At 50.2% G+C, this 16,369-nt stretch overlaps 1 protein-coding gene across 2 annotated transcripts in view, besides 4 other annotated features; it reads left to right on the forward strand.

The window, feature by feature from the left end:
* Positions 284-1,221: an enhancer, noted in NCBI's record as "H3K27ac hESC enhancer chr19:38751829-38752766 (GRCh37/hg19 assembly coordinates)". NCBI's record gives its function as "activates a minimal SCP1, AML or CMV promoter by ChIP-STARR-seq in naive H9 embryonic stem cells {active_cell/tissue: H9 hESC(naive)}" and the evidence as "EXISTENCE:reporter gene assay evidence [ECO:0000049][PMID:30033119]".
* Positions 1,222-2,158: an enhancer, noted in NCBI's record as "H3K27ac hESC enhancer chr19:38752767-38753703 (GRCh37/hg19 assembly coordinates)". NCBI's record gives its function as "activates a minimal SCP1, AML or CMV promoter by ChIP-STARR-seq in naive and primed H9 embryonic stem cells {active_cell/tissue: H9 hESC(naive and primed)}" and the evidence as "EXISTENCE:reporter gene assay evidence [ECO:0000049][PMID:30033119]".
* Positions 2,299-3,216: an enhancer, noted in NCBI's record as "H3K27ac hESC enhancer chr19:38753844-38754761 (GRCh37/hg19 assembly coordinates)". NCBI's record gives its function as "activates a minimal SCP1, AML or CMV promoter by ChIP-STARR-seq in primed H9 embryonic stem cells {active_cell/tissue: H9 hESC(primed)}" and the evidence as "EXISTENCE:reporter gene assay evidence [ECO:0000049][PMID:30033119]".
* Positions 3,373-3,692: a silencer, noted in NCBI's record as "silent region_10565". NCBI's record gives its function as "represses an Ori minimal core promoter by ATAC-STARR-seq in GM12878 lymphoblastoid cells {active_cell/tissue: GM12878}" and the evidence as "EXISTENCE:reporter gene assay evidence [ECO:0000049][PMID:35858748]".
* SPINT2 (serine peptidase inhibitor, Kunitz type 2) overlaps positions 3,668-16,369 on the forward strand; it is a 28,043-nt gene continuing 15,341 nt past the window's right edge. For both annotated transcript variants that reach the window (NM_021102.4, NM_001166103.2), the window contains exon 1: positions 3,668-4,093. In NM_021102.4, coding sequence (NP_066925.1) covers positions 3,988-4,093 — 106 coding nt within the window. In that variant the 5' untranslated portion in view covers positions 3,668-3,987. The remainder of the gene's footprint in view (positions 4,094-16,369) is intronic.

Below are 16,369 nucleotides of genomic sequence, written 5' to 3' on the forward strand. Positions count from 1 at the left end.
TTGATGCAATTACTGTCGGTTTTTTTTTTGTTTTGTTTTTGTTTCATTTTTTGAGACGGAGTTTCGCTCTTGTTGCCCAGGCTGGAGTACAATGGCACTATCTCAGCTCACTGCAACCTCCACCTCCCAGGTTCAAGCGATTCTCCTGCCTCAGCCTCCTGAGTAGCGCGGATTACAGGCATCCGCCACCACGCCCGACTAATTTTGTATTTTTAGCAGACAGGATTTCTCCATGTTGGTCAGGATGGTCTTGAACTCCCGACCTCAGGTGATCCGCTCGCCTCGGCCTCCCAAAGTGCTGAGATTACAGGTGTGAGCCAACCACGCCTGGCCTACTGTCAAGGTTTTTTTTTTGGTGTTTTTTTTTTTTTTTTTTTTTTTTTTTTTGAGACAGAGTCTCGCTCTGTCACCCAGGCTGGAGGGCAGTGGTGCAGTCTCAGCTCACTGCAACCTCCGCCTCCCGGATTCAAGCTATTCTCCTGCCTCAGCCTCCCGAGTAGCTGGGACTACAGGCGCCCGCCACCGCGCCCGGCCTCTTTTTTTTTTTTTTTTTTTTTTTTTTTGAGAACGAGTCTCGCGCCGTCGCTCAGGCTGGAGTGCAGTGGCGCAATGTCGGCTCACTGCAAACTCCACCTCCCAGGTTCAAGCGATTCTCCTGCCTCAGCCTCCCAAGTAGCTGGGACTACATGCGCCCACCACCACGCCCGGCTAGTCTTTTGTACTTTTTTTCAGTAGAGACGGGGTTTCACCGTGTTAGCCCAGATGGTCTCCATCTGCTGACCTCGTGATCCGCCCACCTCAGCCTTCTAAAATGCTGAGATTACAGGCATAAGCCACCGCACCCGGCCCTTCTTTTTTTTTTTTTTTTTTTTGAGACGAAGTCTCACACTGTCGCCCGGGCTGGTGTGCAGTGGGGCGATCTCGGCTCGCCGCAGCCTCCACCTCCCGGGTTCAAGCGATTCTCCTGCCTCAGCCTCTCCAGTGGCTGGGACTACAGGCGCGCGCCACCACGCCCGGCTAATTTTTGTATTTCTAGTAGAGACAGGGTTTCACTATGTTGGCCAGGCTGGTCTCAAATTCCTGACCTCGTGATCCGCCCACCTCGGCCTCCCAAAGTGCTGGGGATTACAGGCGTGAGCCACCTCTTTTTAATGAACTCTGAAGGATGATAAAGGCCAAGGGACAAACATTCCAAGCATCAGGAATGTTGATGCTTGGAATGTTTCTCAGGACAGATATGGAGATGCCCAGGCCTCCCAAAGTGCTGGGGATTACAGGCGTGTGAGCCCGGCCTCTTTTTTTTTTTTTTTTTTTTGAGAACGACTCTCGCGCTGTTGCTCAGGCTGGAGTACAGTGGCACAATATTGGCTCACTGCAAACCCCGCCTGCCGGGTTCAAGAGATTCTCCTGCCTCAGCCTCCCGAGTAGCTGGGACTACATGCTCCCGCCACCACGCCCGGCTAATCTTTTTGATTTTTTCACCGTGTTAGCCAAGATGGTCTTGATCTGCTGACCTCGTGATCCACCCGCCTTGGCCTCCCAAAGTGCTGGGATTACAGGCATGAGCCACTGCGCTCAGCCCTCCTTTTGAGTTTTTGTGTTTAAAGTTCAAAACTGGACAGATGCAGTGGCTCACGCCTGTAATCCCAGCACTTTGGGAGGTCAAGGTGGGCGGATCGTGAGGTCAGAAGTTCGAGACCAGCCTGGCCAACATGGTGAAACTCCATCTCTACAAAAAATACAAAAATTAGCTGGGCGTGGTGGCGGGTGGTGCCTGTAATCCCAGCTACTCAGGAGGCTGAGGCAGGAGAATTGCTTGAATCCAGGAGGTGGAGGTTGCAGTGAGCTGAGATCACAGCATTGCACTCCAGCCTGGGCAACAGGTGAAACTCTGTCTCAAAATAAAATAAAATAAAGAAAGAAGAGGCCTATACCTTCTTCCAAGCCTTGACGGCTCAGCACATACTTCTCTGTTTTCATGCTCAAGCCTAGGTTTAGTAGGCCTGAGTGGCAGTGGGAGATTCAAGTGCTGGGGGAGACCTTTGGCCTCACATTCAGATTCCACCTTGAGTCCCATGATCTCATTGCAAGGTTAGACTTCCATTGTTTAAGGTAAATACCATTTTGATAACTCAGTTACGGCTTTTCATGTATTATTATGCTAGGAGGGAGGCTGAAGAGTGGGAGTGGCCCTGGCTCCTGAACACACTATTCTCTTTCCTGCCTGAAGGCCTCCGCATGTGCCATTCCTGATTCTTGGAATGTTTGTCCCTTGGCCTTTATCATCCTTCAGAGTTCATTATCAAAGCCACCCCTCACAAAGCCCTTCCTCCGCCACCCCATTCAAAAGATCTCTTGTTATTTTCCATCCCAGCCCCTGATTCCTTTTCTGTATAGCACTGTCAAAGTGTTTTCAGGCCAGGTGTGGTGGTTCACGCCTGTAATACAACACTTTTGGAAGGATGAGACAGGAGGATCCCTTGAAGCCAGGAGTTTGAGACCAGCCTGGGCAACATAGCAAGTCCCCTGTCTCCACAAAAAATTTAAAAATTAGCTGGATGTGGTGGCTCACATCTGTAGTCCCAGCTACTTGGGAGGCTGAGGTGGGAGGATCCCTTGAGCCCAGGAGGTCAAGGCTGCAGTGAGCCAAGATCACTCCATTGCACTCCAGCCTGGGCAACAAGAGCAAAACTTCCATCTCAAAAAAAAAAAAAAAAAGAAATAATCTAAAAGTGTTTTCAATAATAATGCATTTATGTTGATTACCTTGTTGGCTATCCTCTACTCGTGTGCCTGCCCCACTCCATTCCCCTTTCTAGAGTCTGTTCACGTAACTCCTCTTCCAGGAAGCCCTCTTTGACTCCCAGGCTTGGTCAGGTGTCTTCTCTGGGTTTCCCCAGGGGCTTCCTTCCTCTCAATTCTGATGCTGCCTGTGCTAAGTATTTGTCTCCATATCTGTCCTGAGAACCTTGGAGCCAGGGCTCGGGGCTGTTTTTGCATGGGCCTATCACCTCCTCCAGGAAGCCCTCCTTGGCCCTCTCTCAGGCTGGATGGGAAAGCTGTCTGGGCTCCCATCATGCCCTGGTTTTCTAGCGACCCAGCCTCTGATCCCTAAGCTTGGCCTTCCCCATCACAGCTTTCATCACTTTGTGCTAAGCTTCCGCTATCACTACTCTGGGCCGTTCCTGTTTGGTGACTCAGGGACCAGTCTGGCATGGCCACCGCTGGGTCCCCAGCATTAAGCCCTGGAGCATGAGCCCAGTGAACTTTGAAATTCAGGAAGGAATTCACAGGAAAGCTGCGGCGAGGCGGGCAGAAAACCACAGGCTTCCAAGAAACGCGTGTCTGCCGCCCCCTCCTCCCACCCTGAGGCCAGTCCTAGAGCGAAGGCCCTCCTCCGACGTCGTCACCAAGCCCAAGGGAAGGGTGGCAGGTGCTCAGCGGGCAGACGCCCCGCCCCGCCCCGCCAGGTTCTGTTGGGGGCGAGGCCCGCGCAAGCCCCGCCTCTTCCCCGGCACCAGGGGCGGGCCCAGGTGCGCCCAGGGCCGGGGAGCGGCCGCGCAGGTGCCTGCCCTTTGCGCCTGCGCCCAGCTCGCCCTGCCTAGCCAGGTGCGCCCCGCCCCCTGCCTGCCCGGCCACCTTCGGGAGCCGCTTCCAATAGGCGTTCGCCATTGGCTCTGGCGACCTCCGCGCGTTGGGAGGTGTAGCGCGGCTCTGAACGCGCTGAGGGCCGTTGAGTGTCGCAGGCGGCGAGGGCGCGAGTGAGGAGCAGACCCAGGCATCGCGCGCCGAGAAGGCCGGGCGTCCCCACACTGAAGGTCCGGAAAGGCGACTTCCGGGGGCTTTGGCACCTGGCGGACCCTCCCGGAGCGTCGGCACCTGAACGCGAGGCGCTCCATTGCGCGTGCGCGTTGAGGGGCTTCCCGCACCTGATCGCGAGACCCCAACGGCTGGTGGCGTCGCCTGCGCGTCTCGGCTGAGCTGGCCATGGCGCAGCTGTGCGGGCTGAGGCGGAGCCGGGCGTTTCTCGCCCTGCTGGGATCGCTGCTCCTCTCTGGGGTCCTGGCGGCCGACCGAGAACGCAGCATCCACGGTGAGGGCCGGGCGGGTAGGCTGGAGGCGGGGCGCAGGGGGCAGAGGCTCGGGGGTCAACGGGGGTCTGAGCAGGGAGAACTGGCGGGGGAGGAAACTGGGGGCTACTTGATGGCGTTCAGCGGGTGTGGTGGAACCAGCCCTGGAGGATTGAGCCTTGAAATGAGGTTTGGGAGCCTTCGACAGCGAAGACGGGCGGAGGAGCGAGGGTTAGGAGAGTTTCCTTCGGGTGGAGGAAGAGTCAAGGGGTATTGACCAAGAAGGCGTGGCACTGCCCCTTCCTGTGGCAAGAACGGGGTGAGGAGCCGAATTGAAGACCAGCCTTCTCCTGGCGGTGGAAAGTTCCATGGCCAAAGCTCAGGGAGAGGCCAGGCCTGTGAGATGGTGGGGGTTGGGTTGGGTGACCTGGTGGCCGTTTTAGACTCGGAAGAAGCCCATCTCACCCCTGCCTCTTTGGAGATTGGACAAGAGCCTCCCCTGAAGTTTTTGTAGTTGAGTTGCAGTAAAGTAGGTGCCCGAGAAGGAGGGAGCAAGAAAGGAAACAAGCTTTGGGGAAGAGGAAGCTCTGCTAAGGCTCGAGAGAGTATTGGCGTTGAGCAGCTGGTGTTGGGGTCTTTGGATTGGCCCTTAGAAGTCGGTGGTGAATAAGGTGATTTAAACTTCTACACTCTTAAGGAAGTGTGGTCTGAAAGGTCTCTTTGAACAAGTGTTGTTATAACCTTAACTGCTTCAGACAAGCACCAGCGTGTTTTGAAAAGAGCTCTCTTGAAAGCAAGAATTCATTGATTCAGCAAAACTTACTGAGGCCCTGCTACGTGTCAGGCACTGGCGCTGGTTATAACAGTTAACTCAGACTAGCTGGGTTCCTGCATTCACAGAGCTAATATTCCAGTGGGAGAGGCAGAGCTAGTGAAGGTTTAAAAAGCACTTGCCATGAGATTAAGTTACTGAGAATTAAATGAACCAGGTGAAGTACACCAACAGGGTGACGTAAGATGTTGGGGGCGGCTTTAGCTCAGGTGGTCGGGGGACGTCTCCGTGAGGAGGGTGACATCTGAGCTCTAACATGAAGAATGAGGCAGTAGCCACACGGAGACCTGGGGGACCAGTGTCCAGTTGCAGGCAATAGAGTACAAAGGCCTTGAAGCTGGAACAAGCTTGGTTGGGTTCAGGGAAAAGACAGAGCCAGCCTGGCTGGAGCAGGCGTGAAGGAGGGGAGGACTGGAGGAGGATGGGAGGTGGGAGAGGTTGGCTGCAGCCAGATGGCCTAGGGCTTTATAGACAGGTGCTGGTGCTTGAACCCGGGAGGCGGATGTTGCAGTGAGCCAAGATCGCGCCACTGCATTCCAGCTTGGGCAACAAGAGTGAAACTCCCATCTCAAAAAAAAAAAAAGAAGGCCGGGTGATGTGGCTCATGCCTGTAATCCTAGAACTTTGGGAGGCCAAGGCGGGCAGATCACTGGAGGCCAGGAGTTCAACACCACCCTAGGCAACATGATGAAACCCCGTCTCTACCAAAAATACAAAAATTAGCTGGGCATGGTGGTGCACACCTGTAGTCCCGGCTACTCGGGAGGCTGAGGCAGGAGAATCGCTTGAAGCCCAGAGGCGGAGGCTGTAGTGAGCTGAGATCAAGCCACTGCACAGCAGCCTGGGCGACACAGCAAGACTCAGTCTCAAAAAAAAAAAAAAGAGCAGGCTAGGTGTGTACCAAGTCATCACCTGTGGTAACTTCTGGGGACTGGTTAATTTCTCTGTGCCCTAGGCAGGAGAAAAAAGTGAATTGGTGGGGAGAGGCTCAGCTGTAGGTGACTGGGAGTCAGGAATGCAGACGTTGATCATTCTTGCAATTCGAACCAGAATTTGGCAGCTCTGCTGGACTTTTTCAGTTTAAGTAATTACGTTAGGATGTACCTCCCAGTTACCTGGCCTCTTGCTACCTCTGGTGCTTACTCTGAGCTGGGACATGGCCTCTTGCTACCTCTGGTGCTTACTCTGAGCTGGGATGTGCCATTTAACCTTTGAAACAGCCGGGTGCGGTGGTGAAGTTACTTGCCTTGCCCGAGGTCACTCGGTAGTAGTAATTGACAAAGCCAGGTCTCACTGCAGAGGCCTTCTCTGTTCAGAGTGGCCTACCTGACTGCTGCTGCCGACTGGACCTACTGACCTTTCAGAAGTACTAGTGTCTGACTGGGTGAACTCATGCCCTCACTCATCGTAAGTTCTGTTTGTTTGAAAGCTTGAACAGCTTAATCGGAGGCAGAAGGCAGTTTTGACTTTTTTTTCCTCGCTCCTTCCTGATTGCTTCTGTTTTCTCCGGAAGCGAGTCATCCACTGGGAGTGTGGTGTTGCTGAAGCTCCATGCAGTGGCTCAGGTGCTGCTGGATGAGTGTGGTGGTGAGGGAGGAGTGAACAGAGAATGTGTGAGGGAGGGAGGATGGGGGTTGGTCAAGGAATTTATTCTGTATGAAAACATGAGGGGGCGGAGGGCCGAGGTAGATGGTAGGGCCAGCAGATTGTTGGAGTTGAGGTTCTGAAGGGAATGAACCAGACAGATAGGATGCAGTGGGTAGTGAGTGAGATGCATGAGAGGGAGGTTCTGAAGAGGTGGCAGTTACTGAGACAGGTCTAGGTGTGACCCTGAGAGGAAGCGGGGGGGCGAGGGTGGGAGGAGATCAGGTGGAGGTCTTGGGACCTAGAGGTCAGAGGACCATCTACCTGGATATAGAAATCTCCAAGAATGATCATAAGAGCAGCGGGAGAGGTGGCAGGCCCGGAGCTAAAGTTGGGAAGGAAGAAGTAGTTGTCTGGGTTGGCAGATAACGTGCCAGGCGGGGTAGTGAATGATTTACTCTAATAATGGAAGTCTCCCAGCTGGGGATTTTGGGGAGGGTGGAGGGAGAACAGTCCAGAAGCAGCTCCCAGGAGCAAGGAGACCTCCCCACTTGGAAGGGCCCCAGGAGGTGTGCCCTCAGGGGAGATTCCAATTAGGTAAGAGGGTGGCAACAATGTTCAGAGGAGATTGAGGACATGGAAGATTTGCTCAAGACCAGTCCTGAGTACCAGAGGGCCCAGGAGTTGGGGGAGGGGAGATGGGGACAAAGCAGGCCCCACCGTGTGAGAGTGAGGGTTAACTCAGGGGTCGGGGCTTCTTGTGAGAAGCATCATGTGGTCTATGATTGATGTGTTGGTGACGCTCTGAGTAGTGAGGGCAGGTGGGAAGGGACAGGTGGACGGGCCGGACAAAGAGTGTCCTGACTCCAACCTCTGCAGACAGAGGTGGGGGGAAAGCTGAGCTTATGCCAGGTGAGAAAGCTCCCCTATCTAGCGTTAGGGACAGTTACCGTCTGGAGTGGAAAGCACGCAGAGATTATAAACTGTCCACTCCCAGGAAGCTTCACACAGCCTTTATGTGACTTGTACTTTTTCCAGAATTGGGATTTTTTAAACGTAAAAATGTAGTTTTTGGCTTTGCCTGAAAGACATGAAGATGTAATGGAACCAAACCAGAACACAGGCCTGTTTTCCTGCCCAGCAGTCCCTGGCAGGAGCCGAGTACCTCTTTCAGGCAGGAGATATGCCATTCCCTAGCCTGTAGATCTTACTCAGCTTGCCTCATCTCAGCTACTGCTTGCCCTCTGTCTCTGTAGGCCTTTGGCTTGTGACCCCTACCTTAAACATATGCTCCATTTAGTAAATGGTAACACGTAACAGTTCTTTATAAATTGCACATTACAGTGTGAGACAGAGAGAGAGCATGCGCGCGCGCGTGTGTGTGTGTGTGTGTGTGTGTTACGGCTGGCTGTTGGGGAAATCCTTATATCAGGTAGCTGCAGATATGCAGGATTTTTTTCTTTTCCTTTTCCCCACCCAGGTGGTAAATCCTGGTATTTGGAGGGTCCTGAAATGTGTAATGTTGCTCAACACCAGGCCAGATCATATATTTCCTCAGCAGAATAGAAACTTGAAAGGTCCTTTAGGAGTGGCCAGTTAGGTGTAGTTCTTGCTGCCAATAACTTTGTGCCTGGCCCTGGGCATCAGAACTTGTGTTAATGGTTACTTGGCTTAAGGTCTTTTGTTTTTGTTTTTGTTTGTTTTTGTTTTTTTGGGTTTTTTTTTGAGACGGAGTCTCTCTCATCGCCCAGTCTGGAGTGCAGTAGCGCGATCTCAGCTCACTGCAATCTCCACCTCCCGGGTTCACATCATTCTCCTGCTTCAGCCTCCTGAGTAGCTGGGACTACAGGCGCCCGCCACCACGCCCGGCTAATTTTTTGTATTTTTAGTAGAGACAGGGTCTCACCACCGTGTTAGCCAGGATGGTTCAAGGTCCTTTGTTGATTCTTCTTGGGAATTTCCACTGGAGGCAAGCAGGGCAACACTTATTTGAGAACCTCTCCTGCACCTTTTTTTTTTTTTTTTTTTTTTTGAGACAGAGTCTTGCTGTGTCACTCAGACTGGAGTGCAGTGGCGCCATCTTGGCTCATTGCAGCCTCTGCCTCCTGGGTTCAAGTGATTCTCCTGCCTCATCCGCCTGAGTAGCTGGGGTTACAGGTGTGCACCACCACACCCAGCTAATTTTTGTATTTTTAGTTGAGATGGGATTTCTTTTCTTTTTTTTTTTTTTTTTTTGAGACGGAGTGTCTCGCTCTGTCGCCCAGGCCGGAGTGCAGTGGCGCGTTCTCGGCTCACTGCAAGCTCCGCCTCCTGGGTTCACACCATTCTCCTGCCTCAGCCTCCCGAGTACTGGGACTACAGGCACCTGCCGCCACGCCCGGCTAATTTTTTGTATTTTTAGTAGAGACGGGGTTTCACCGTGTTAGCCAGGATGGTCTTGATCTCCTGACCTTGTGATCTGCCCGCCTCGGCCTCCCAAAGTGCTGGGATTACAGGCGTGAGCCACCGCGCCCGGCCTGAGATGGGATTTCAACATGTGGGCCAGGCTGGTCTCGAACTCCCGACCTCAGGTGATCTGCCCACCTCAGCCTCTCAAAGTGCTGGGATTACAGGCTCGAGCCACGTGGCCCAGCCCTCTCCTGCACTTCCAAGGGATTTTCGAAATGCATGGACCTCTCAGGTTAATTATAGTGTCTGTAGAACCTTAACTGCTGTAAGCTTTCCAGCAGACTCCACAGACGTGTTATTAGTTGCCACCCTTTCTTTACTTTCCTCCTCACCCCCATGGATAGTCGTGACCCTGGTGGTCAGAGATAAGATGACAGAAGAGCTAAAGTAAAGCTGGTGTTGGCGATCAGCTGGGAATTCTCTAAAACAGCTTCTCACATTATTCTTATCCTCCATAGAAGGAGTGCTTGTCCTACTTGCAGGCAAGGCAGTTTGGTTCCAGGGTAGTTCGAAATCTTATTCACTGATATAGTCAGCAAATGTTTATTGAGCACCCACCAATTGCCAGGCACTGACTCACTCAAATTAGAGCACTGAACAAAATAGACCCCCTCCCCCATCCGTGGCAGACGTGTCATAATGAGAGGAAGACAGTACAATAAATGAACAGATGAATGTATGTCTGGTGATGAGTGTCAGGGTTGGTGTGCTTAGCACTGAAAATGGGGGCTTCTGAGGTTCAAATGGTTGCAGTTCCTAAAGAAGGTTGAGGGCCTTGCCTTCAGGTCACCGCGGGAGACTGGCCCCTTTCCACTGGAAACATTGCTTTGCCCAGTCAGTATTTGAGAGCTCAGCCTGCAATGGAGAAATCACACTTCTCCTCTTTCACCCTGCTCCCCACCCTGTTTCTCATTTTACCCATCCCCAGCCATTTGCAGAATGCATGCAGAGCTTCTGTTTGCCATGTCTGGAGGCTACAGGGGAGGCTGAATAAGGGGTGATAAGCCTGTGGCTCATGTGAGGCGGGAGAGAGCCCAGCAGGAGTCACACTGAAATGACTCCATTAGCCCCAGGAGGCCTTGGCCCACCGGCCATGACTAATGTGGACATTAGAGTGTGGATTCCGATGTCCTGCAAGATCCTCCTCACAAGTGTCATTTCATGGTTTTTTTCTGGCAACATCTTTTTGAAAACTCCCTGTAAAGAAGTGCTGATGTTGATGCTGAGGCCCAGGAACTTTGGAGTTTATTTACCTTTTTTTGTTGTTTTATTTTCCTTGGCAGGTGAAGTAGGAGCTAGAGTTTACTTATTTTGAAGTTTATTTGAAATATGCTTTTTATGATTAGAAGCCATTTTAGAAATGAGGGCGAGGCCGGGCGCGGTGGCTCATGCCTGTAACCCCAGCACTTTGGGAGGCCGAGGCAGGCGGGTCACGAGATCAGGAGATCGAGACCATCCTGGCTAACACGGTGAAAACCCGTTTCTACTAAAAATACAAAAAAATTAGCCTCGCGTGGTGGCGGGCGCCTATAGTCCCAGCTATCTGGGAGGCTAAGGCAGGAGAATGGCGTGAACCCAGGAAGTGGAGCTTGCAGTGAGCTGAGATCATGCCACTGCACTCCAGCCTGGGCAACAGAGCAAGACTCTCTCAAAAAAAAAAAAAATGTTATGCTAAGTGAGAGGAGCCACTTACAAGAGACCACCACATGTTTGGCCGGGTACAGTGGCTCATGCCTGTAATCCCAGCACTTTGGGAGGCCGAGGTGGGTGGATCACGAGATCAGGAGTTCAAGACCAGCCTGGCCAAGATGTTGAAACCCCATCTCTACTAAAAATACAAAAAAAAATTAGCCGGGTGCAGTGGCAGGCGCCTGGAGGCTGAGGCAGGAGAATCGCTTGAACTCGGAGGGTGGAGGTTGCAGTGAGCCGAGATCACGCCACTGCAGTCCAGCCTGGGAGACAGAGTGAGACTCCATCTCAGAAAAAAAAGAGGGCAAGAATTCACATGTTGTTTTACTCACACGTGTTGGAGATGGAGCTCAGGGTGATTCCTGACTGGGCCCAGGGTCCATGGCCTCAGAAGTCCCTTAATCTGAAGTCCTTCACTTTTATGTGATACTGCTGGGCACAATGGCTCACGCTTGTAATCCCAGCACTTTGGGGGGCTGAGGCAGGTGGATTGCTTGACTGAGGAGTTTCAACATGGTGAAACAAAAAATACAAAAAACTAGTCAGCCTGTAGTCCCAGCTATGTGGGAGGCTGAGGTGGGAGAATTGCTTGAGCCCAGGAAGTGGAGGTTGCAGTGAGCCGAGATCGCACCATTGCACTCCAGCCTGGGCGACAGAGCGAGACCCCATCTCAAAACAATTTTATATGTGATAGTTTGTCCATGTGTATGCCAGGGTCTGTCATTTAGAGTGTATGGCATGTTCTTAAAGGGGTGGGGGAACAAAAAGATACTATAATAGTTTGTGACCTTTTGAAGGGCCGCTCTACATGAATAGATATATAGTATGTCTGTGGTGTTAAAATTTTGTGGGGCGATTAGGAAAAACATTTCCAAAAAGTCTTAGGGGGAAGGTAGTAATGAAAAAAGGTTGAGAAACACCATTCCAGAGAGAGGGTCCAAGAGCTTTCCTCAGTTCTGAAAATGGTCCATGATTTGCACAAGGTAAAGAATGGCTGAATGCGAATTAACAGCAGACAGTTTCTTAGAAGATTTGAAACTATTGTTTCCTTCCCAGCTATTCAGATGGACTGCTCGGGTTCTTGTTATGGATTGAGGCGAGGGTAGACTTAATAGTCTTGTTTCAGAGTGGAATATGGAGTGATGGTAGGCATGAGTAGTGATGAGTTGCATTGTGCTGATAGGTTATGAAATGTAAATTTTTTATTTTTTGATATGGAGTCTCTGTCGCCCAGACTCTGGAGTGCAGTGGTGCGATCTCGGCTCACTGCAACCTCCACCTTCTGGGTTCAAGCGATTCTCCTGCCTCAGCCTCCTGAGTAACTGGGATTACAAGCATGCACCACCACGCCCGGCTCATTTTTTTGTATTTTTAGTAGAGACGGGGTTTCACCATGTTGGCCAGGCTGGTGTTGAACTCCTGACCTCAGGTGATCCACCTGCCTCAGCCTCCCAGAGTGCTGGGGTTACAGGCGTGAGCCACCGTGCCCGGCCTGAAATGTAAACTTTTATATCTAAATATTTTATATAGAAAATACCAAGATTTTATATCTGAAACACCAAGATTTTATGAGCCTCATAACTTAAGTAGGATTTGTAATTGTAAATGTTCTTTCCTCATAAATACCTGAGGTTTTTTTTTGAAAGGTTCTGAATTGTCTCAATAATGAAAACTTCCAGACACCCAAGCCTAGAGGAGATGGGTAGTTGGTAGCTTTCTGTACTGGAAACAGAAACACTCAAATATATAGAACCTAGCCAGCTAACCAAAGTAGGTAGATTTATAGATCATCTTAAAATAAGGCTGATTACACAGTAAATGTCACCTTTGGAATCTGGCTTGGTAGAATTGAAATAGGCTTCAGTACCTCCTGTCATTCAGTACCTGTTTTCTTGAACTCCTGACTTCAGGTGATCTGCCTCGGCCTCCCAGAGTGCTGGGCTTACAGGCATGAGCCACTGTGCCCGGCCTCAGTACCTCTTTTTAAGATGCTCTCATTCATTCCCTGGTGAAAAGATGCTTGAAGTGCAAGTGCAAGTAGGTGTGGAAAGCATGGAGGGTTTGTGTTGCTTCATTTGTTTTGGTATTTGTTTTTTCCACCAGTCCCTCCCTCTGGCTTTCTGCCTCCCAGCCCAGCATATCCTGATCTTGTAGCCATGCAGGACTTTGACCCGTGTGGTGGTTTGCCATTGTCTTCCTCCAGGTGAAGATAAGACATCATTGGTTTGGCTTGAGGTTGTACTTTTGGCCTTCCCTGTATATCCTCTTCCTCCTTATCCTCTCCGTCAGCATGCTTGGTTGGACTCTGTAGTGAAATGTGTCATTCTCTTTATTCTGACTGTCCCTATATTAGTCCTGTCTTCATAAAAAATACAATCGTAAAGATACAATATCTACTATTTGTTAAAAGTTTTGTGCTAGGCCAGGTGCGGTGGCTCACGCCTGTAATCCCAGCACTTCAGGAGGCCGAGGCGGGTGGATCATTTGAGCCCAGGACTTCAATACTAGTCTGGGCAACATGGTGAAACCTCGTTTCTACAAAAAATGCAAAAATTAACCGGGTATGGTGGCACACGCCTATAGTCCCAGCTACTTGGAGGCTGAGGTGGGTGGGTCACTGAGCACAGGTCAAGGCTACTGTGAGCCAAGATTGTACCACTGTACTCCAGCCTGGGTGACAGGGCAAGTCCCTGTCTCAAAAAAAAAAAGAAAGCTGTGTGCTAAATACTATTTTAAGCAATTATAATGGATTAAAAACTCCTTTAATCTTCACAACAATGTTTTTTCTTTCTTTTTTTTTGAGATGGAGTTCTTTGAAACTCTTGGATTAAATGACTCTTCAGAGCTTTCTTTGCTTTTTGATACTAAGGAGTGGCATGTCTGGGGATTTTTATAGCAAATAACTTCTCCTTGGCTACTATCCTTAGAATTCCAAGTGTTTTTAATGAAAAGAGGAGACTTGTTTTTAGTGATGTTAGTTGTTTTTAGGAAAGGTGTTCTGCAGTGTTTTTCGCTAAGGTGGCTCACGCCTGTAATCCCAGCACTTTGGGAGGCCGAGGTAGGCAGATCACTTGAGGTTAGGAGTTTGAGGCCAGCCTGGCCAGCACAGCAAAACCCTATCTACTGAAAATACACAAAGTAGCCAGGTGTGGTAGTACACTCCTGGAGTCCTAGCTACTCAGGAGGCTGAGGCAGGAGATGACTTGAACCCGGGAGGCAGAGGTTGCAGTGAGCCTAGATCGCACTATTGCATTCCAGCCTGGACGACAGAGTGAGACTGTCTTAAAAAAAAAAAAAAACATAAAATGGAGAGGTAGACCAGCTTACGGGAGGTGTTGCACTTCCCTCTGCCACTGGAGAGACTCTGGATCTGCAGCCAGGGAGCTTGTGAAGGCTTCTTGTCCACGGAAATGAGGGCGGCAGTTGTGACTTTCTGGATGGTGGCCCAGAGGAAGCAACACTGGCAGAGCCTCTTCTGTGAAGCAGCTCTGCGAGCAATTTTGTGACATTGAAAGAGCAAAGGATAAAACGTTGAAAGCTGATCCAGATCTAGAAAAGTGTTTGGCAATTGCTGGAAAAGGTGTAGAAATGATGCTTGCTCTGTATCGTAAGTTATATGGTGAGAAGACCACAAGCACGGTTCAAACTCCCCTTAGAAATTCTTTTGCACAGAAATTAACACTTTAATCCTAAATGTTTCCAATGTTTTAACTTACAGTATGCTAAATAAACATTCTTTCTGTTTGTTTGTTTTGTTTTGTTTTGTTACTCTGTGCATTTATAGCCAATAGAGTTTTTCTTTCCTTATTTTTTTGACACAGGGTCTTGCTCTGTCGCCCAGGCTAGAGTGCAGTGGTGCGATCTCAGCTCACTGCAACCTCCGCCTCCTGAGTTCAAGTGATTGTCCCGCCTCAGCCTCCCGAGTAGCTGGGACTACAGGCGCGCGCCACTGTGCCGGGCTAAGTTTTATATTTTTAGTAGAGATGGGGTTTCGCCATGATAGCCAGGGTGGTCTTGAAATCCTGACCACAGGTGTGAGCCACTGTATCTGGCCAAAAAAATTTTTTTATTTTTTGTAGAGACAGGGTCTCACTATGTTGCCCAGGCTGGTCTTGAACTCGTGACCTCAAATGATCCTCCTGCCTCGGCCTCCCAAAGTGCTGGGATTATAGGTATGAGCCACCATGCCCAGCTTGACAAAAAAATTTTTTTTTTTTTTTGAGAGATGAAGTTTCACTCTTGTTGCCCAGGCTGGAGTGCAATGGATCAGCTCACTGCAACCTGTGCCTCCTGGGTTCAAACGATTCTCCTGCCTCAGCCTCCAGAATAGCTGGGATTACAGGCATGCACCACCACGCCCGGCTAATTTTGTATTTTTAGTACAGACGGGGTTTCTCCATATTGGTCAGGCTGGTCTCGAACTCCTGACCTCAAGTGATCCACCTGCCTCGGCCTCCCAAAGTGCTGGGATTACAGGTGTGAGCCACCACGCCCAGCTGACAAAAATTTTTAAATGTCATTGAGCAGTATCATTTTTCCCACTGATTATGAGATTGCTTTGTGTGATCACACACTGACGGGCAGGCCAATTGCTGCTTGTATTCAGTATTTGGCCCCTTATAGAAAACATTTGCAGACCCTTGTTCTAGAAAAAACAGATGGGTGGGAGGAGGAGGAGGAGAAGCATTTCAGGAGTGGCTTTGGGCTTTCCTGTCCTGCACGTGGTGAGGCAAGAAGCTCTTGTGCCTCAGCTCATAGCACTCATGGGAGTCTGTCAATAACTAGAACCCTAGGAGTTATTTTTGCTTGTTTTAAAAATAAGCTTGTTTTGGGGCCAGGCGTGGTGGCTCACGCCTGTAATCCCAGCACTTCGGGAGGCCGAGGCGGGTGGACTTACAAGGTCAGGAGATCGAAACCACTGTGGCTAACATGGTGAAACCCTGTCTCTACTAAAAATACAAAAATCAGCCGCGTGTGGTGGCGGGCGCCTGTAGTCCCAGCTACTCGGGAGGCTGAGGCAGGGGAATGGCGTGAACCCAGGAGGCGGAGCTTTCAGTGAGCCAAGATCGCACCACTGCACTCCAGCCTGGGCGACAGAGCGAGACTCCATCTCAAAAAAACAAACAAACAAAGCTTATTTTAATGGATATAAAAACATGAATGAAATAAGACACCAAGTTCAAGGTGGTAGGGGGTTAATTTGGAAGAGGCAGAGCAAATGTGATTGAATGAGGGGTATGCAAAGGGTTTCTGCTCTATCCATATGTTTTATTTATTAATTTATTTTTGGAGAACAAAGTCTCGCTTTGTTGCCCAGGCTGGAGTGCAGTGGCGTGATCTCGGCTCACTGCAACCTCCACCTCTTGGGTTCAAGCGATTCTCCTGCCTCAGCCTCCCGAGGAGCTGAGACTACAGGCACGTGCTACCACACCCGGCTAATTTTTGTATTTTTCAGTAGAGATGGGGTTTCACCATATTGGCCAGGCTGGTCTCGAACTCCTAACCCCAGGTGATCTGCCCAGCAGGCCTACTCTATGTTTTAGTCCTTGAGAATGTTAGAATTTGATGACACTGAGATGTGGATATACCAGACATGGGGTATTTTCTGTACTCATCAGCATATTTGAAATATTTCATTAAAGTTCTTACTTTGCAAAGTAGACACAGCTGCAATTATGCATTTTTGGAAAATGATTAGGTACTATCTCATCTGTTTTGTTTTTTTGTTTTTTTGTTTTTGAGATGA

The sequence above is a fragment of the Homo sapiens genome, chromosome 19 (assembly GCF_000001405.40).
Source record: "Homo sapiens chromosome 19, GRCh38.p14 Primary Assembly".
NCBI lineage: Eukaryota > Metazoa > Chordata > Mammalia > Primates > Hominidae > Homo > Homo sapiens.